At 45.9% G+C, this 17,685-nt stretch overlaps 1 protein-coding gene across 2 annotated transcripts in view, besides 3 other annotated features; it reads left to right on the top strand.

The window, feature by feature from the left end:
* Positions 1-17,685, top strand: part of FOXN3 (forkhead box N3) — a 462,989-nt gene that overhangs the window by 210,321 nt on the left and 234,983 nt on the right. The window lies entirely within an intron of this gene.
* Positions 5,425-5,925: an enhancer, noted in NCBI's record as "H3K4me1 hESC enhancer chr14:89869264-89869764 (GRCh37/hg19 assembly coordinates)". NCBI's record gives its function as "activates a minimal SCP1, AML or CMV promoter by ChIP-STARR-seq in naive H9 embryonic stem cells {active_cell/tissue: H9 hESC(naive)}" and the evidence as "EXISTENCE:reporter gene assay evidence [ECO:0000049][PMID:30033119]".
* Positions 8,952-9,522: an enhancer, noted in NCBI's record as "H3K27ac-H3K4me1 hESC enhancer chr14:89865667-89866237 (GRCh37/hg19 assembly coordinates)". NCBI's record gives its function as "activates a minimal SCP1, AML or CMV promoter by ChIP-STARR-seq in primed H9 embryonic stem cells {active_cell/tissue: H9 hESC(primed)}" and the evidence as "EXISTENCE:reporter gene assay evidence [ECO:0000049][PMID:30033119]".
* Positions 16,596-17,096: an enhancer, noted in NCBI's record as "H3K4me1 hESC enhancer chr14:89858093-89858593 (GRCh37/hg19 assembly coordinates)". NCBI's record gives its function as "activates a minimal SCP1, AML or CMV promoter by ChIP-STARR-seq in primed H9 embryonic stem cells {active_cell/tissue: H9 hESC(primed)}" and the evidence as "EXISTENCE:reporter gene assay evidence [ECO:0000049][PMID:30033119]".

Below are 17,685 nucleotides of genomic sequence, written 5' to 3'. Positions count from 1 at the left end.
TTCAACACAGTGACTAAATGCACCTGAAGGTTGGTGAGAAATACCTTAAATTGAACGAGAACATTGAAACCTTGCAAGTTGTATGCAGTGAATTAGCTATTCCACTTTTAATTTTCTTCTGAAAGTGAAGAATACGGTTAGGCTTGACGTAGCAGTGAAAATGTGGAATCCTGTGTGATCCCTGTCCCTGAGGGCTTGGAACACATACCCTGCTGGACAACTGTTTGGCTGGGATGTTGGGGAGGGAACATACTAGATTACATCACCTGTGGCACTTAAAAAACAATTCCCAGCCGGGCACGGTGACTCACACCTGTAATCCCAGCACTTTGGGAGGCCAAGGCGGGAGGATTGCTTGAGTGCAGGAGTTTGAGACCAGCCTGGGCAACATGTATGTCTCTACAAAAAATACAAAAATAATTGGCTGAGCATGATGGCATACTCCTGTAGTCCCAGCTACTCAGGAGGCTGAGATGGAAGGATGGTGTGAGCCCGGGAGGTGGAGGTTGCAGTGAGCCGAGATACAGCCTAGGTGACAGAGCCAGACCCTGTCTCAAAAAAAAAAAAAATTCCCGTTTTCTTGGGCCCCTTTCTGGAGATTGTGATTCATTAGGTGTGAGGTGGGTTGGGGAAAACTGGTAGTTCTGCTAAGCTTCCTAGGTGTTTCCAGCATGGAGCCAGGTTTGAGAATCCCTGAACTAGGTGCCCTCTTGAGGTCTTTCCAGTTGCTGAGATTTCATCAAGAGCATGTTCTCATGAATGAGTCAGTCAGGGCAAAAGAGACAGCTTGGCTTTCGTTTTATCTCTGAAAGGACTTCAGAAGATAAGAGTTTTATTTTTATTTTTGAATCACGGAAATTTTCAAACATACACAGAACTAGAATCGTATAATGACTTGATATACCCCCATAACACACATCCTGATTCAGTAGTTGACAAAGGTTTGTCACACTTATTTTATTTATTCTTTTTTGTTGTCGCTGTTTCTGAAGTTGTTTTTCGGTTTTTTGTTTTGAGACAGGGTTTCACTCTGTTGACCAGGCTGGAGCGCAGTGGCATAATCATGGCTTATTGCAGCCTCAGACTCTCATGCTCAAGCCTTAGCCTTAGCCTCCGAAGGGGGGACTACAAGTACATACCACCATGCCTGGCTAATTTTTTTTTTTTGTATTTTTCATAGAAACGGGGTTTCGCCATGTTGCCCTGGCTGGTCCCAAATTCCTGGCCTCAAGCAATCCTCCTGCCCCAGCCTCCCACAGTGCTGTGGATTATAGGCATGAGTCGCTGCACCCAGCCTTGCTGAAGTAGTTTGAAGCAGATGACATTTACAATTCAAACATTTCGGTATACATAAGAATAATTGACGGTTTCTTACATAACAACCATGCTCAAGTCCCCCCTAACAAAATGAACAATTATTTGGTGTTGCCTAATGCCAGGTCCATATTCAGATATCCCTGTTTACAAAATGTTTGTTTGAATTAGGGTCCAAATGTGGTTCCTGCAGTGCCTTTTGTGATGTTTCCTGTCTGTGTCAGTCTGCAGCACTCCTATGCCCTCTTTCCTTTTTCATTCCCTTCCCTGTTAAAAGAGACCCATGGCTTACACTATAGAGTACTTGCATTCTGTTTACTTCCTTGTGATTTCGTGTAACTTGCTTCTCTCTCTCCTTCTATTTCCTGTCAAATGGAAGGAAGTACGAACGTCTGGGTCACATTCTGGATATATCACTTCCAGAAGCCTGGTCATCCCCCTCTTGGGGAAGCTGAGATTGAGCCATGGGTTCACATGAGGTCACTGTTCCCTACTCTATAAAATTTCTCATTAGTTTTTTTTTTTTTTTTTTCATTTCGTCTATGGATGATCTGTGCCTAAATCAATTAAGGTAGAGTTTTAATGTCTGGGATTAAGTTTTACACTCCCTAAATACAGGTCTTACTTAGGAGTGTAAGATTAGCATGTACTAACCTCTCTGAGTACTTGTAAATGAGAAGTAGAATGCAGTTATTTTTTTCCAGACTGGATTATAAGGTATGTGTGTATTTCTATTTCTGTGCCTTTTTTTTTTAACCTTTCCTCTTGCTACTTGAACAAAAAACATTGTCATCAAAGGGTTTATAAAGGAAACACTGTACAAAAGTATGTTTATTATATCCAGAGCTGAGTGCTTTAAATACAATTTTAGCTTATAAATATAGGCATGCTTGCTTTGTGCTTTCCATATGCAGTATCTGATTTCTTCCTCACTAAACCCTATGAAGTAGGCCCTATTATTTTCTTTCTTAAAATAGATGATGAGTTAAGCTCTGAGTGGTTAAGTAACTTGCTAGAAGTTGCACAGCTAGCAAGTGCAGAACTTACTAGGAACCTAATTGGAAGGAACCTAATTCCTTCCAACTTTTTAAAAATTATTGATTTAATTTATTTTTGAGACAGGGTCTCTGTCACACAGGCTGGAGTACACTGGCATGATCATAGCTCACTGAAACCTTGAACTCCTGGGCTCAAGTGATCCTCCTGACTCAGCCTCCCAAGTAGCTGAGAATACAGGTGCATGCCACCACATCCAGCTAATTTCAAGATTTTTTTTTTTTGTAGGGCTGCGCACTGTGGCTCATACCTGTAATTCCAGCACTTTGGGAGGCCGAGGCAAGCAGATGACTTGAGCCCAGGAGTTTGAGACCAGCCTAGGCAACATGATGAAACTGCATCTCTGCAAAAGATAAAAAAATTAGCTGGGCATTGTGGCACGCACCTGTAGTCCCGGCTACTCAGGAGGCTGAGTTGGGAAGATCGCCTGGTGACAGAGCTAGATCCTGTCTCCAGAAATAATATATTTTTAGTAAAGGTGGGGTCTTGCTGTGTCGCCCAGTCTGGTCTTGAACTCCTGTCCTCAAGTAATCCTCCCAATTGTGAGCCACCATGCTTGGCCCGATTCCCTCCAATTCTGAAGGGCATGTGCTTACCCCTGGTGCTTGCCTAGGCCTTCTCAGTATAGCAGACATTGTAGATGATCTCTCTGTGCTTCCTTTAAATATCCTGTGAATATGGGTTATAGGGGATTGAAATAACCCAAATAAACCCAGAATTAACTCTGGGGGCACAGGATAGAGAAAGGCAAATACAGAGTATATTTTTGTACCGTTGAGATGGGGCTCAATTGTCAGCACATGTAAAGTTCTTGCATCTGCACAGAGCACACAACTGTCTGCTCAGCTTCCGGTTTCCAGGCTCCATCCTGAGCCCCCTGCCTCATAGGACCCCTTCAGTGGCATCAGAGCCAAGTGAGGAAGCTTTTCTCCCTGCGTGTACACTGTTGATACAAATTGTCTCTAATTTGCTGTTCTCTTCACGTTTGCTCTCGGTAGATGAGATTCTTTTTCAAAGGCAGTTTTGAAAATGAGGTCGCACCCAGGTGTGGTGGCTCACGTCTGTAATCCCACACTTTAGGAGGCCAAGACGGGGGCATCATTTGAGGCCAGGAGTTCAAGACCAGCCTGGCCATCATGGTGAAACCCTGTCTCTACTAAAAATACAAAAAGTAGCCGGGTCTGGTGGCGGGCGCCTGTAATCTCAGCTACTTGGGAGGCTGAGGCAGGAGAATCGCTTGAACCCGGGAGGCAGAGGTTGCGGTGAGTGAAGATCACGCCACTACACTCCAGCCTGAGCGACAGAGTGAGACTCTGTCTCAAAAAGAAAAACAACAACAAAAAAAGAAACTGAGGTTGCACCTCTATGTGTCAGCACCCCACGTGAGCAGTTGCTTCTAGTTTTCTCTTCTTGGTGTTGTGAATGCAGAATCAAGAGCATTTCCCCTAACCGTGACACCAGTCAACCTACCTGTCTCATTGATGGACCTTTTAGGAGGAAGAGATGACTTATTATTATTATTTTTTTGGATAAATAATGCTCATTGGAAGACAGTGTGGTCTGGTTCGGATGTGTAAATTCCTAAGAATTAGTGTAATGTTGGGTGGGGTGGAACATGTAATTTTGTAATGTGTGTGAGACTCCTCTGTGGTCTCTGGGTGAAGTGACAATCCTCTTCATCCTCGACCTGGGGCTGCCTTGTCCAGCGTCGGAAATGGCTCTCCCTGAAGACGGCCTCCTTCTCACCGGTGCCTACTGCCAGGCGGGCTGCTTTCTGCTGTCTGTGCTATAGGCTATGTCACCTCAGAAGGTTGAGAGTTTACCAGGGTCTCTGAGGGGCCAGAAATAAAAATACTCCCTTGTCACAGGCCCTGGAATAGGAAGCCATTCATACCAGCATCCTGTGATCCCAAGAAAGCGCAGCTCCCTGACCCATCCTGCCGATTTTTTTTTTTTTTTTTTTTTTTTTTGAGACAGAGTCTCGCTCTGTCACCCAGGCTGGAGTGCAGTGGTGCAATCTCGGCTCACTGCAACCTCCGCCTTCCCAGGTTCAAGCGATTCTCCTGCCTCATCCTCCTGAATAGCTGGGATTACAGGTGCGTGCCACCACACCCAGCTAATTTTTGTATTTTTAGTGGAGACAGGGTGTTTGTTGGTCAGGCTGGTCTCGAACTCCTGACCTTGTGATCTGCCCGCCTCGGCCTCCCAAAGTGCTGAGATTACAGCCGTGAGCCACCGTGCGCAGCCCCATCCTGCTGATTTGTTCCTTCCAGACTGTTCGTTCCTTCTTCTTCCAGTCAGTAGGTGTCTTGGGTGGGGGCACATTTCCGTTGTCTTGCTCTGGCAAACCTTTCATTTGTCTGCTCATTCATTCATTTATTCAACAAACTTTTTAAAGTACCTACTAAGTGCTAAAAGAATACAGAATTGAATGTACCATGGCCACTGCCTGTAAGGCACTCATGGTCCAGCGAGCCCTCCCCTCAGAGTCTCCCTCTCACTAGTGGAACTTCTCTAGCAGAAGCTCTTACTCCACTGCTGTATGCCCTTTGTATTCTCTGTTTTCTGTCTCACATCGTTGCTTTTCTGGCCCTTCATGGATACACTACCTTTCTACTCCTCACAGTGACTTGGCCAGGAAGATGCCACTAACCTGGATAGGGGTCTGTCTGAGGCTGCTGGGAAAGCTTCTGGGCCCGAGGGCCCTATCAATGTATCTGTCCAGTATCTCCCCCTGTTTCCTATTGAGAAAATGTTGCATTCTCTTTGGTAGGGCTTTGTGGCACCTGGATAGGTCTACCAGATACTTCATCGATGTACTGCCTGTATATCCAACCAGCAAGAAATGGTTTTCAGAACCTTCCCCATTGGGCTGGGATTTCCCTTTGAAATCATTTTGGCTGCAGGATAATTCTCTGCAGTAAATAACATAGGAAGTTGGCACTCTGACCTCCTATTTGAAAGTTATGAGTTTAGGCTGGGCGTGGTGGCTCACGCCTGTAATCCTAGCACTTTGGGAAGCCGAGGTGGGGCGGATCACTTTGAGCCCAGGAGTTCGAGACCAGCCTAGGCAACATGGTGAAACCCTGTCTCTACAAAAAATACAGAGATTAATTGGGCATGGTGGCATGTGCCTGTAGTCCCAGCTACTCTCCTGAGGCTGGAGAATCGCTTGAACCCGGGAGGTGGAGGCTACGGTGAGCCATGATCGCACCACTGCATTCCAGCCTGGGCGACAGAGTGAGACCATGTCTCCAACAACAACAAAAAATTAAAAAAAAAAAATGTGATTTGATTCTTGCTTTTTGTACTCTTAGTAGTTTACATTCCAGGGAAGCAGGAAACATAATGCAAAATAAAAAAGAATAAGTTACCGTAAGTACTGGAAGTGTGCCGATCAGTGTGAGATTGGTATCATTCAAAGTTAGGCTGGCTTCCCTTTCCCAAAGAGGGGCACTGGGTAAGCTAAAAGATAGTGATGGGCGAGTTTTGAATATTCCTTATGTTCACTTGAATAAGCTGTTACAAAGCATTCTTCGGGTGTGGGAATGAGCATTAGACCTCCAAGGATGGATTGATCAGAAGGAGGCTTGAGTGTTTATTGTAGAAAACCAATTAACAATGATTTAAACAAGCTAGGGGCGTATTTCTCCATTACATGAAAGAAGTCTTGAGGAGCTAGACAGAGACGCACATTCCCTCTTCTCTGCTGTTCTTAGGGCATTGCGGGTTTCCATTCTCAGTCTTCTCATGGTCCAAGATGGCATCAGCTAGCATGTTCCCATTTTAGGAAGCAAGAAGGGGAGTGCAGGGAAGGACAGGAGGGAGTCTTGCTGACTTCTGGTTTTAAGGGGCTTTCCCAGAAACCCCACCCTCTGCTTTGATCTTATTGGCTAGAGCTTGGTCACATGACTTCTAGCTGCAAGGAAGCCTGGGAAATGGACTCTTTTGCCTGATCCATTGGAACCCCAAGTTAAATGTTGATTCTGTTGCCAAGCAAACTTGGAACTTTCTGTCACAAAGGTCTAGATGTTTAGGAGGCAAATGTTACTGGACCCCAGGGATGTGTTGGAACAGCGTCAGAGGAAAGGACGGAGAGAGATGGTGGCTGGAAGGTTATGTAAATAAGAATAGGGACTGTTGGAGGAGCTAGGATGCTAAATGGAAAACTTTACATTGCATTGGTAACTTAAGTAAAGCAGAGATGCTGACCCATTTTTTAAACATTCCAAATAACCAAGGTTTTGCTTTAAGAGATTCTGGTTAAATTGCATTTAGTGTCATCAAAAGCGGTAGCTTGATTGAGGTGAAGATGTAGTCTGTGCCAAGGATGATAAGAAGAAAAGCAAGGAAATAGATGGTTGAAGATAGAGAGTAGTGTGAAGTCGTTCTTTTAGTAATAACTTGATGGATTGCTATGTAAGATTACAGACAGTTCCATGAACAGGATGAAGTCTTTGATTTGTGTATGTGTGTGTGTGTGCTTGTTTGAGTACCTTTCCTTGTGAACTCAGCAGGAGACAGTAAATACAGGCAGAGAGGCTATACGCTTCCCAGGGGAAAAAGCTCTCCAATTACCCTTCCTTTTCTTCCTTTGGTCTTCACAGGGTGTGTGGGATTTCCCTCTGGGCCCCGTGGGGTCGAGTTCAGTGTCTTCTTTCTATTTATTGGAGTTCTGTGAAGTGCTTCATAGAAGGCTGTGACTGTCCTCCTCGAGGGACAGGACCGATAAGTGATTTAACTAATGTCATTAGACAGAAAACACCCACCTAGCAGAACATGTGCACATGCTTTGTTTTTAGAAGGCCAAGTCATGTGAGCGCTGACTCTAATCGTGGCTATAGTAGAGGGGGAAGAAAAGTCCCGAATCTCCAAGAATCAAGGTACAGGGAGCCTGGCACAGAGGTAAGGCATAGCATCACAGTAGGTACTCCTGGAATACCGCACTGTGTGCCGAATTCCTTTGAGGCTTGTAAAGTTGAGAACTGGTGTTTGCAGCTATGGTTCTGAGGTCTTGCAGAATACCTACTGTTGTTGTTGTTGCTGTTGAGTCACCCAGGCTGGAGTGCCAATGGCGCCATCTCAGCTCACTGCAACCTCCACCTCCTGGCTTCAAGTGATTCTTCTGCCTCAGCCTCCTGAGTAGCTGGGATTACAGGCTCATGCCACCATGCCCAGCTAATTTTTCTGTTTTTAGTGAAAACGGGGTTTCACCATGTTGGCCAGGCTGGTCTTGAACTCCTGACCTCAGGTGATCCGCCCGCCTCAACCTCCCAAAGTGCTGGGATTACAGGCATGAGCCATTATGTCTGGCCCCTAGTTTGCAAAGTAAAAATTGGACTCTGTATTTATGAAAATAAGTGGCTTCAGTCATTTTAGAAGCATTTTCAGCAGTGGTTCATTCGTGCTACCCTTGTTTGTGGAGTGCCAGGCACTGTTTTGGGTGCTGAGGATACAGTGGTGACCTCTGGCGGGTCCCTGGCTGCTCTCCTAGACCTTCCATAGGGTAGCAGTGAGGGTAGGGGAGGAGGAGGAGGCAAGTGGTAAATAGTAGTTCCTTCCATGGACAGGGTAGGTAATGTACCAGATTGTGTTACATGCAATGAAGATATAAAACAGGATAATGTACTAGGGGAGGAGGGTGGGATGGTGGGAGGCTTCTCAGAGGATCTGACTAGGCCGTGCCTTGAATGGCAAGAGGGATGCAGCTATGCAAAGATCTGGGCAGAGAGAACAGCAAGTGCAAAGGCCCTGAGGTGGCAATGGCTCAAAATGTCCAAGGAACAGAAAGAGGGGTCGCAGTTAGTGTATTAGAAAGGGGAGAATGTTATGTCTAAAGGACAGGAAGGGGATCTACCTCTCTGGGGCTTGTTCCAGTGGTGCAAGAGAGAGATGGTGGGAGTGATGCTAGCTTGAGCCAGGGTTGGGGGTTGCAGATGAACATGTGTGGGCAAATTTGGGTTGGGAAATTGGATGGGCGTTAGTGCCAACATTCTCTTTTGACCATGTTAAATTTGAGATGGTTTGCGGACATCTAAGTGGAGCTGTCAGGAAGTTTCCTATATGAGTTTCAAGCTCTGTGGAGACATTCGGGTGGAGGTATAAATCTGAAACACAGTGCATAGGTGTTGGAAAATAAAGAGATTTCTGGATTACCTCTCAATCAAAAAGAGTGAAATCAAACCTCTATTTCAGTTCTTACAGGAAATTGTATTTCCATTAGTGTTTGACTAGGAAATTCATTTTGGGGTATATTCAGCATGGGAAATAAGAACAAAAGAGGTTTACATTTAGAGGGAGACCCTCTCAGAATTATTTCAGCAATAACTTACCTCTAGTTGCTGGCTGTAGTTTTGCAGGCAGAAGAGAACAAACCTTTACTTTTGTACCAAGAGTGCAACTTCTAAATGTGCTTGGGGCAGCCGCATCTCTGATATCAGGAGAGAAATGTACTCCAGTAAACATCTTACTTAGCAAAGCCCCCTAACCCATGGCTTCTGCGAGTTCTCTGCCATCTGGTCCCTGGATGGAAAGAGGAATTTTTCTTGTATATGTGTCTCCATAGCAACGAGTTTGCAGTTGATATGGAAAGTAAGCAGTTGCCTTAGCAACGGAGTTACTGATGTGGCGGCTTCCTTGCTTTCAGGGAATGGATAAGCTGACCAAACTAGTTTAGATGCATCCTGTAGGGCGCTGTAATGTAGAGCCGCACACACGGCCCCTGCCAGTGTAAAATTGGTCTAGCTTTAAAAGAGATCGCAGCCCCTCCCCCTTCCAGAAGGAAGGGCTTACAGCTGTAATAAATCAGACAAAAGTAGTCGCTGTCAGTTGAAATAGATTACAAGAGGGATCTCCTGGCAGAATTTATTTAGTTTAGCTCAAAGGAGAATGTTACAGTCAAGGGTACATTTGGTTGCAAGGACAAGAGAGTCACTCGAGTTGGCTTAAGTAAAAGGGTACTTGTCCCAAAAACATAACAGCCAGTCCCATGGAGCGGGAGCAGTGTCAGAGAGCAACAAAGCATATCTCAGGTCCACGGCCATTGGAAGTGCCTCCTCTGTTCCTCTGCGGCCACGTGGACACTCATCTCTGCCTTTCTCTGAGGATCTGTTCTAGCCTCCTCTTTGCAGCCCAGCTCCCTCTGTGTGCTCTTGATTCCTGCCTTCTCACACTGTTGGCTTGCCCTGCTGGGATGTTGGTGCCAGTCCCTGTGATGTGATGGTTCCAGTGCCCAGTGGCATCAGCACCATCATCTCTGCGCCTTGTCTTTGTCATCATTTTTAGATACTAGGACTTGTCCTTTTCCTGGGCCAAGCGTTCAGCCCTGGTCAGAACAGGGGCCTGTGCACCGGATCAAGATAGCTGCTCGGAAAATCCCTTCATCTGGGGTTGGGCTGGGGCTTGAGTCTGAAACATATCTGCAACAACAAAAAAATTCAGGAAAGCCTTTGATCATTTGAAGACCATTTTATTGATTGATTGGCTGATTTGAGATGAAGTTTTACTCTTGTTGCCCAGGCTGGAGTGCAATGGCACGATCTTGGCTCACCACAACCTCCGCCTCCTGGGTTCAAGCGATTCTCCTGCTTAGCCTCCCGAGTAGCTGGGATTACAGGCATGTGCCACCATGCGTGGCTAATTTTGTATTTTTAGTAGAGACAGGGTTTCTCCATGTTGGTCAGGCTGGTCTTGAACTCCCGACCTCAGGTGATCTGGCCGCTTCAGCCTTCCAAAGTGCTGGGATTACAGGTGTTAAGCCACCGTGCCCAGCCCAGTACTAATGAAAAGAAAAGTAATATGGAACTTTGGAATATTTTGTGCTTTCTTTTTCCCTCTGTCCCCTCAGAATACCTCTTCTAGGTGATGAGGATTAACATGCCAGAGAACATGGGGACTATCTTGAACCTCCGTTTTCTTGTCATCTCCATGGTGCCTTCATCTTTCTTTCATTCCAAGTTTATAAATTGGGGGCTGGCAATTCCCAAACTAGCAAAGCTTTTCTTTGGTGACTACTTCTCCCTGTCAGCTGCCCTCAAAGTGCCCGTAATCACAGGGTTGAGCGATTACCAGAAATTATGAACTCTAGCCCCCGATCCAGACAGAAATAAATGTCAGCTGTCCAATACAAGTTGTCCTAATAGTCAAGATCAGGAGGTTTGGTAATAGTTCTTGCTGACTGTTATGCACTAGCCCGCATCATTGCGTTATTTTCAAAATAGGGGAAAATATAATTACTTTATCCTGGGGACTGGGGATGACAAAACTCTGGTGGAGGATACTCAACAAAATAAAAAGAGACCAGGAAGGCTACAGAGTGGCTTCTGCCAGTTGCCAGGGGATTGGGCAAAGGCCAGAATTATGTGGTTGGGGAAGCCAAAGGAGAAGGGGACTCCTAAGGTTTAGCAGTGCCACTGGAAGAATCCTGAAGACAGCATTTTATTAGCTGGTTCCTTCAGGATAGTCAGACTGGGGCTGGCGACAGGGAGAGAGGAGGTCCCTTGAGTCATCAGACGTGGCTTGTCCAGAGGTAGGGACGCATAAGGGGGAAGACTGAGTGTGAAAGTGGGAAGTGACATTTCCATAGGACCTGCTGGGTGCTGTTTGGAGTCATGTGAGGCATTTGTATCCATGGTCTTACATCTTTTTAACAACTATAAGCAGGTATTATATGCTCTTTGCAGATGGGGAAACTGAAGCTCAGAGAGGTTCAGTGGCTTGCTAAATTGACACAGCCAGATATTTTTAGCCAAGGTCTGACACTTCCTTGCTCCTCCTTCACTCTAATTGGCTAAAACAAAGGGTCACAGTGGGATAGAGAGAGAAATAAGTTTGGGAAGGTAGGCTGAGCTAGACTGGGGGGTTTTGAGTGCCAGGGAGCCCAGACTTTCCCCCTAAGGTGGTAGGGGGTCCTCAGACGTTTCTGAGCCTAGCCACAGCACAGACAAAGGAGTCAAGTGCTTCCTTCTGATGCCCTAGAGGTTCTTGCAGAGCCTCGGTCTCCACAGCAGGGATTCTTTTTTTTTTTTTTTTTTTAACTTTTATTTTAGGTTTGGGGGTACATGTGCAGGTTTGTTATATAGATAAACTCATGTCACAGGGGTTTGTTGTACAGATTATTTCACCACCTAGGTATAAGCCTAGTAACCAATAGTTTTTTCCTGATCTTCTCCCTCCTCCCACCCTCCACCCTCCAATAGGCCCCAGTGTGTGTTGCTCCCTACTATGTGTCCATGTGTTCTCATCATTTAGCTCCCACTTATAAGTGAGAACATGTGGTATTTGGTTTTCTGTTCCTGTGTTAGTTTACTGAGGATAATGGCCTCCAGCTGCATCCATGTTCCCGTAAAAGACGTGATCTCATTTATGTTTATGGCTGCATAGTATTCCATGGTGTATATGTCCCACATCTTTATGCAATCTGTCATTAATGGGACTTAGGTTGATTCCATGGCTTTGCTATTGTGCATAGTGACAGCAGAGATTCTTGCTGCCCAGAAATTTATGGAGAAAAAGGCCACAGCAGTCGCTGATTTTCCATAGCTTTAACTGACTTGGACCAGATTTGTGCACTAACAAATAAGGAAAAAAAAAAAAGTCTACTGCAGCATATTTCTCATTTTAAGTTTTTTTTTTTTTTTTTTTGAGATGGAGTTTCACTCCTGTTGCCCAGGCTGGAGTGCAGTGGCACAATCTCAGCTCACTGCAACCTCCGCCTTCTGGTTTCAAGCGATTCTCCTGTCTCAGCCTCCCAAGTAGCTGGGATTACAGGCATCTGCCACCACACCCATCTAATTTTTGTATTCTTAGTAGAGACGGGGTTTCACCATGTTGGCCAGGCTGGTCTTGAACTCCTGACCTCGTGATCCACCCGCCTCGCCTCCCAAAGTGCTGGGATTACAGGCATGAGCCACCGTGCCCAGCCAGCAGTGGCTTCTTGATGCTCCAGTCCAGCATCTGTACCTGGATTTGACTGATGTGGTCCCCATCATACTCTGATAGAGTTCTTTTTGCTGGGATCCTGGAAGATGATCTTGGTTTATACATGAAGAATCTGGGGTCCAGTGAAAGTGACTTGGTAAAACCCACAGATCTGTGCCGAAAGCCTTGGTCAGCTGCCCCTTGGCCTGATGCTCTTTTCTCTGCATCAGTGCATTGCTTCACCTCTTCTTCAAGGACTCTGATTAACTGGAAGTGGACATAAACTGGTGTTATTTATGTGGGATTTGTTTTCCTTCCTACATCTTAGTTTGGGTCACTGAATATACTCAGTTTTTATAAGTGATTTTTCATTTCTGTTTGTAACTTCTGAAAATGTGCTTAAGTCTTTGAGAGTATGCTTTAACCTATAAATTTTTGTTTCATTGATTACTCAGAATGTCCTTGAATTTTAGCCTTCGAATGAGTCTCTGGACACTATTTTGCATTACCTGCCTATTAGTATTTAGCCATTGATGAAATCCACACAGATCCTTCCTGGTGAGCAAAGGACCTGATCTGCTTCTTGGTGCTGATGTTATGTGGAGAGTTTGCATATTTCCCAGAAGTAGTGACAAGTGTGACTGGAAGACTCTTAGAAAATTTTTTACTTAACTGTCTGTCTTGATAAACTCTATGTTCATTATCTTTGGTTCTTTGACTTACTTTGAAACTCCCCCCCCTCCAGCCTTAGAGATCAGCTTATATTGGGCAGGCATTTTTTCCCAGAAATAATAATATTAATATTAATAAATAGTAATAAGGTAATTACACTACTCCTGTGTGGTATCCTAAACTTTCTCATAACTTGTTCATCCATCCAGCTAATGTTGATTCCATGCTTGTAAACAGGCTTATGCTAGGCATCAGGAAAGCCGGATGATGAAGGTATAGTTTCTGTCCACCAGGAATTTCTAGTCTAGTGGGAGAGACAGACACATGAAGAAATAGTCATTGTACACCTTCGTGTATGTCAGGCATATGAGATGCTGTGCTGGGCAGGAGAGGGTGTGAGTGCTGCTTCATTTTACACAAATTGGTGAGAGAGAAAGCTTGGATGCTGTACTGAGCATTGAACTAGGTGTTAGGAGATCTGGGTTTTATTGCTAATTTGGTTGCTAACCAGCTGTGTACCTCTCTGAACCTTAGATTCCTCCATTCAATTCAGTAAACCTTCTCTTGTGGGCCCACTGTGTTCATTCAGTATGTTTAATTAATCATTCATCTGTAAGCAGAATTGTCCCGGACACGTGTTCCTGAACTACTTGCCACAGGGGACTCTTTTATTCTCCTCCTTATTCTGTGCTTTTGTTAGACACATGAGCATCAGTCACAGGCTGTGACCAGCATCAGATAACCAGTGTCCATAGGGTGTGTTGAGAATATTTCTGCCCAAAGCAAAGGAGCTAGATGTGGCAGCTTACATAACAATGTTGCACATGAACGCGTGATTTCCAAAAGGCTTTGGGGAAGTGTCAGAATAAAATCCTGTCCTCATAATTCTAACTCTGCAGAAGAGCCTTTCCATAGCAGAAAACCCGGATGGGTTGTGTGTGATTTTCAAAGCCCTCTCCTATGCTGTTATTACAATTCTAGGAGATCCCTTAGTTGGGGAGTCACTAGCTGTGCTTCCAATGATCTGTATCCCTGGGGCCTACTAGGTTCCTCGTCCTTTCCTGTGTCTCACAGCAGTTGGAATCTAGCTCTTCTGACCATTTCCCCAATGCTAATGGGACCCCGGGATTAGAGAATAGTAACTTCAGGTATCCTATTCCTGGAATCCCAGGTGTGTTCATGGCTGTGAGGGCGCTCAGCGCATGCATGTATCTGGCCAGATGCCCTAGGCCAGGCATGTCCACGTTGAGCATTGTTGTTGTTTTTCTTTCTCTCTGTACACTTCTCTTGATGATGTCATTTTCTTTATCAAAAAGCTTTACTAAACTCCTGCTGTGGTTTGAATGTGTCCCCCAAACTTCATGTATTAGAAAGTTGAGACTGGGCGCAGTGGCTCACACCCGTAATCACAGCACTTTGGGAGGTTGAGGTGGGCTGATCACCTGAGGTCAGGAGTTCGAGACCAGCCTGGCCAACATGGCGAAACCCCATCTCTACTAAAAATACAAAAAAAATTAGCTGGGCGTGGTGGTGGGCACCTGTAATCGCAGCTACCAGGGAGGCTGAGGCAGGAGAATTGCTTGAACTCGGGAGGCAGAGGTTTCAGTGAGTTGCACCCCAGCCTGGGCAACAAGAGTGAAACTCCATCTCAAAAAAAAAAAAAAAAAAAAAAGAACGTCGATCCCCATTGTGGTGGTGTTGGGAGTTAGGGTCTAATAGAAGGTGTTTGGGTCATGGGGGCACCACCTTCATGGATCGATAAATGCCATGATTGTGGGAGTGGGTTCCTTATAAAAGGATGAGTTTTGGCCCCCTTTCTCTCTCTCCCACTCCCCTCTTTGCCCTTCCACTTCCCACCATGGGATAATGGAGCAAGAAGGCCCTCACCAGATGCCAACCCTTCCATCTTGGACTTCCCAGCTTCCAGACTGCGAGAAAACAAATCTGTGTCTTTATAAATTATCCACAACTCCCAATGAAGTCAGGGGGCTATGAAATGTACTTGTGATCTTCCCTTGTCCCCACCCAGTTTCCTGCTCTAGACAAGTTGTACCTCTGGGCTCTTTCTCCTCTACTTTTGCCCCTCTGTAACTGTCAGTGTGTCATTTCTGCCTCACTCTGGACAAGCCTGCCATCTCTGCAGGTGTGATTTATTGCCAGATGGTTATTTTGTTAGCAGTGGTTGAGTCTTATGAAATGTAATCCCAACTGATCTTTTTTCCCTCTGTGTGAAGTGTGTGGCGTGCACAGTTTGTGCCATTTGTATACCCTGGTGCTGAGGTGTGGTGGTTTATGGGGGAGCTCCGTTTCTGGCCGCCATGTGGCCATGGGAGATTGACAACAACGCTCACCCTCAGCACTTCAGAGACAGCCATGAATGTTTTCAGATAATCTGTTCAGAAATGGCAGCTTATTCCCACAGTCCTGTGGCTGGATGTCTTGTGGCACTCTGTGCGTTTCCTGTGTAAGCAGGTGTTCAGGGGTGAGTTGTATCCCTCAGAAAGATAATGTTGAAGTTCTCATCTCTGGTACCACGAATGTGACCTTATTTGGAAAAGATGTAATCAAGTTAAAATGAGGTCACACTGGATCAGGGTGGTTTGTAATCCAATGTAACTGGCATTCTTATAAAAAGAAGAGAGGAGGCCAGGTGGGGTGGCTCATGCCTGTAATCCCAGCATTTTGAGAGGCTGAGGTGGGTGGATTGCCTGAGGTCAGGAGTTCGAGACCAGCCTGGCCAACATGGTGAAACCCCATCTCTACTAAAAATACAAAAATTAAGCCGGGCACGGTGGCTCATGCCTGTAACCCCAGCACTGTGGGAGGCCGAAGTGGGCGGATCACGAGGTCAGGAGTTTGAGACCAGTCTGGCCAATATGGTGAAACCCCATTTCTACTAAAAATACAAAAATTAGCCGGGCGTGGTGGTACGTGCCTGTAGTCCCAGCTACTCGGGAGGCTGAGGCAGAAGAATCTCTTGAACCTTGGGGGCGGAGGTTGCACTGAACTGATATCATGCTGCTGCACTCCAGCCTGGGCGACAGAGCGAGATGCTGTCTCAAAAAAAAAAAAAAAAATTAGCTGGGCGTGGTGGTCTGTACCTGTAATCCCAGCTATTCAGGAGGCTGCGGCAGGAGAATTGCTTGAACCTGGGGGTCGGAGGTTGCAGTGAGCTGAGATTGCACCTCTGTACTCCAGCCCGGGTGACAGAATGAGACTCCATCTCAAAAAAAAAAAAAAAAAAAAAGACGAGACACAGACACATGTGCAGGGGAGAGCACCGTGTGAGTGTGAGGGCAGGGGTTGGAGTGATGGCTCTGCAAGCCTAGGAACAGCAAGGATTCTGACATCACCAGAGAGGGTCGTAGAACAGATTCTGTCTCCCAGCTTCTAGAAGGGACCAGCCCTGCTGACACCTGGATTTTAGGCTTCAAGCCTCCCGAACAGTGAGGAAATACATTTCTATTGTTGGGGCCATCCGGCTTGTGGCACTTGGTTACAGCAGCCCTGGGAACAGAGCAACAGAAAGAAGTAGCAGTGAGTTATGAGTTTCTGCCTACACTGAGAGACTTCAGGAATAAAACCTAATGGAAGGTACTTAGGAATATGCAGTGGGATTGTGTCCTTTTACAGAGGAGGGAACGATCCAGAGAGGTGCTCACAGCCACGCAGTGGGGGCTGGTGATAGATTTGGATCCAGAACTCAGGTCTCCTGGGCTTAGAACTTCTCTCCCTCCTAATGCTGCCTATGGGAACATATTTGAAACCTAACTGGGTTCACATTAAAGAAATGCCATAAAGTTAGGGGGCAGATGGTTTGGGTTTTTTTCCTCTCCATTTTTTGATGGGGAATGAAGGGATCACAGATCTTGACAACAAAATGGAAAGAGTTTATAGGGTTCCAGGTTGGATTGCAGTGGTGCCATCTCAGCTCACTGCAACTTCCACCTCCTGGGTTCAAGCAATTCTCCCGCCTCAGCCTCCTGAGTAGCTGGGAATATGGGCACATGCCGCCATGCCTGGCTAATTTCTTTTACATTTTAGTAGAGATGGGGTTTGGCCATGTTGCCCAGGTTGGTCTTGAAATCCTGAGCTCAAGCAGTCCACCCACCTCGGCCTCCCAAAGTGCCAGGATTACAGGCATGAGCCACCGCGCCCGGCCAGGGTTCCAGTTTTATTAGCTACATAGCCTGCAAGCAGAGAGCACGGTGGCACCAACCAACCAGGCTGTATTTGGGGACTGTCGCTTATTTTTCATGCACTTGGTGCTGAGGCTTGAATTGGTACAATAAGATGCAATACCTGCCCAACATTTCTTATTCAGGGCCTAGTTAAACCTTGAACTGGGAAGAAGCAGCCTTTGTTTGGGGGAGCGTGTTCTTCTGCAGCAGATCCTTTTGGTTGAACCATGAAATAATAAGACTCGGTTTGCACAACTGTGAATGCCCAAGTTGGCTGAATTCTTGGTACAGAGGCAGAGGGACGGGATGCCTGTCTTTGGAAATATGAACGTACTGGCTGCTTTGTTCACGATGACTCAGTGTTTGTATGACCTTGGTTTTACTAAACATCTGAAGGCACTTTTGTCAGGTGTCCTCCATTTGCCCAATGTAACCGTATTTTATTTCTGAGACACAGTCGTGCCCTTTAACACAGTCTGTTTTTCGAGGAGGAGGATTCACTTACCGCCCTTGAAAACCAAGGTCAGTCTGGGGCTGGTGATGG

The sequence above is a fragment of the Homo sapiens genome, chromosome 14, assembly GCF_000001405.40.
Source record: "Homo sapiens chromosome 14, GRCh38.p14 Primary Assembly".
NCBI classification, from domain to species: Eukaryota; Metazoa; Chordata; class Mammalia; order Primates; family Hominidae; genus Homo; species Homo sapiens.
Note: the sequence above shows the minus strand (reverse complement) of the source record. Positions and strands in the feature narration are given on the sequence as shown.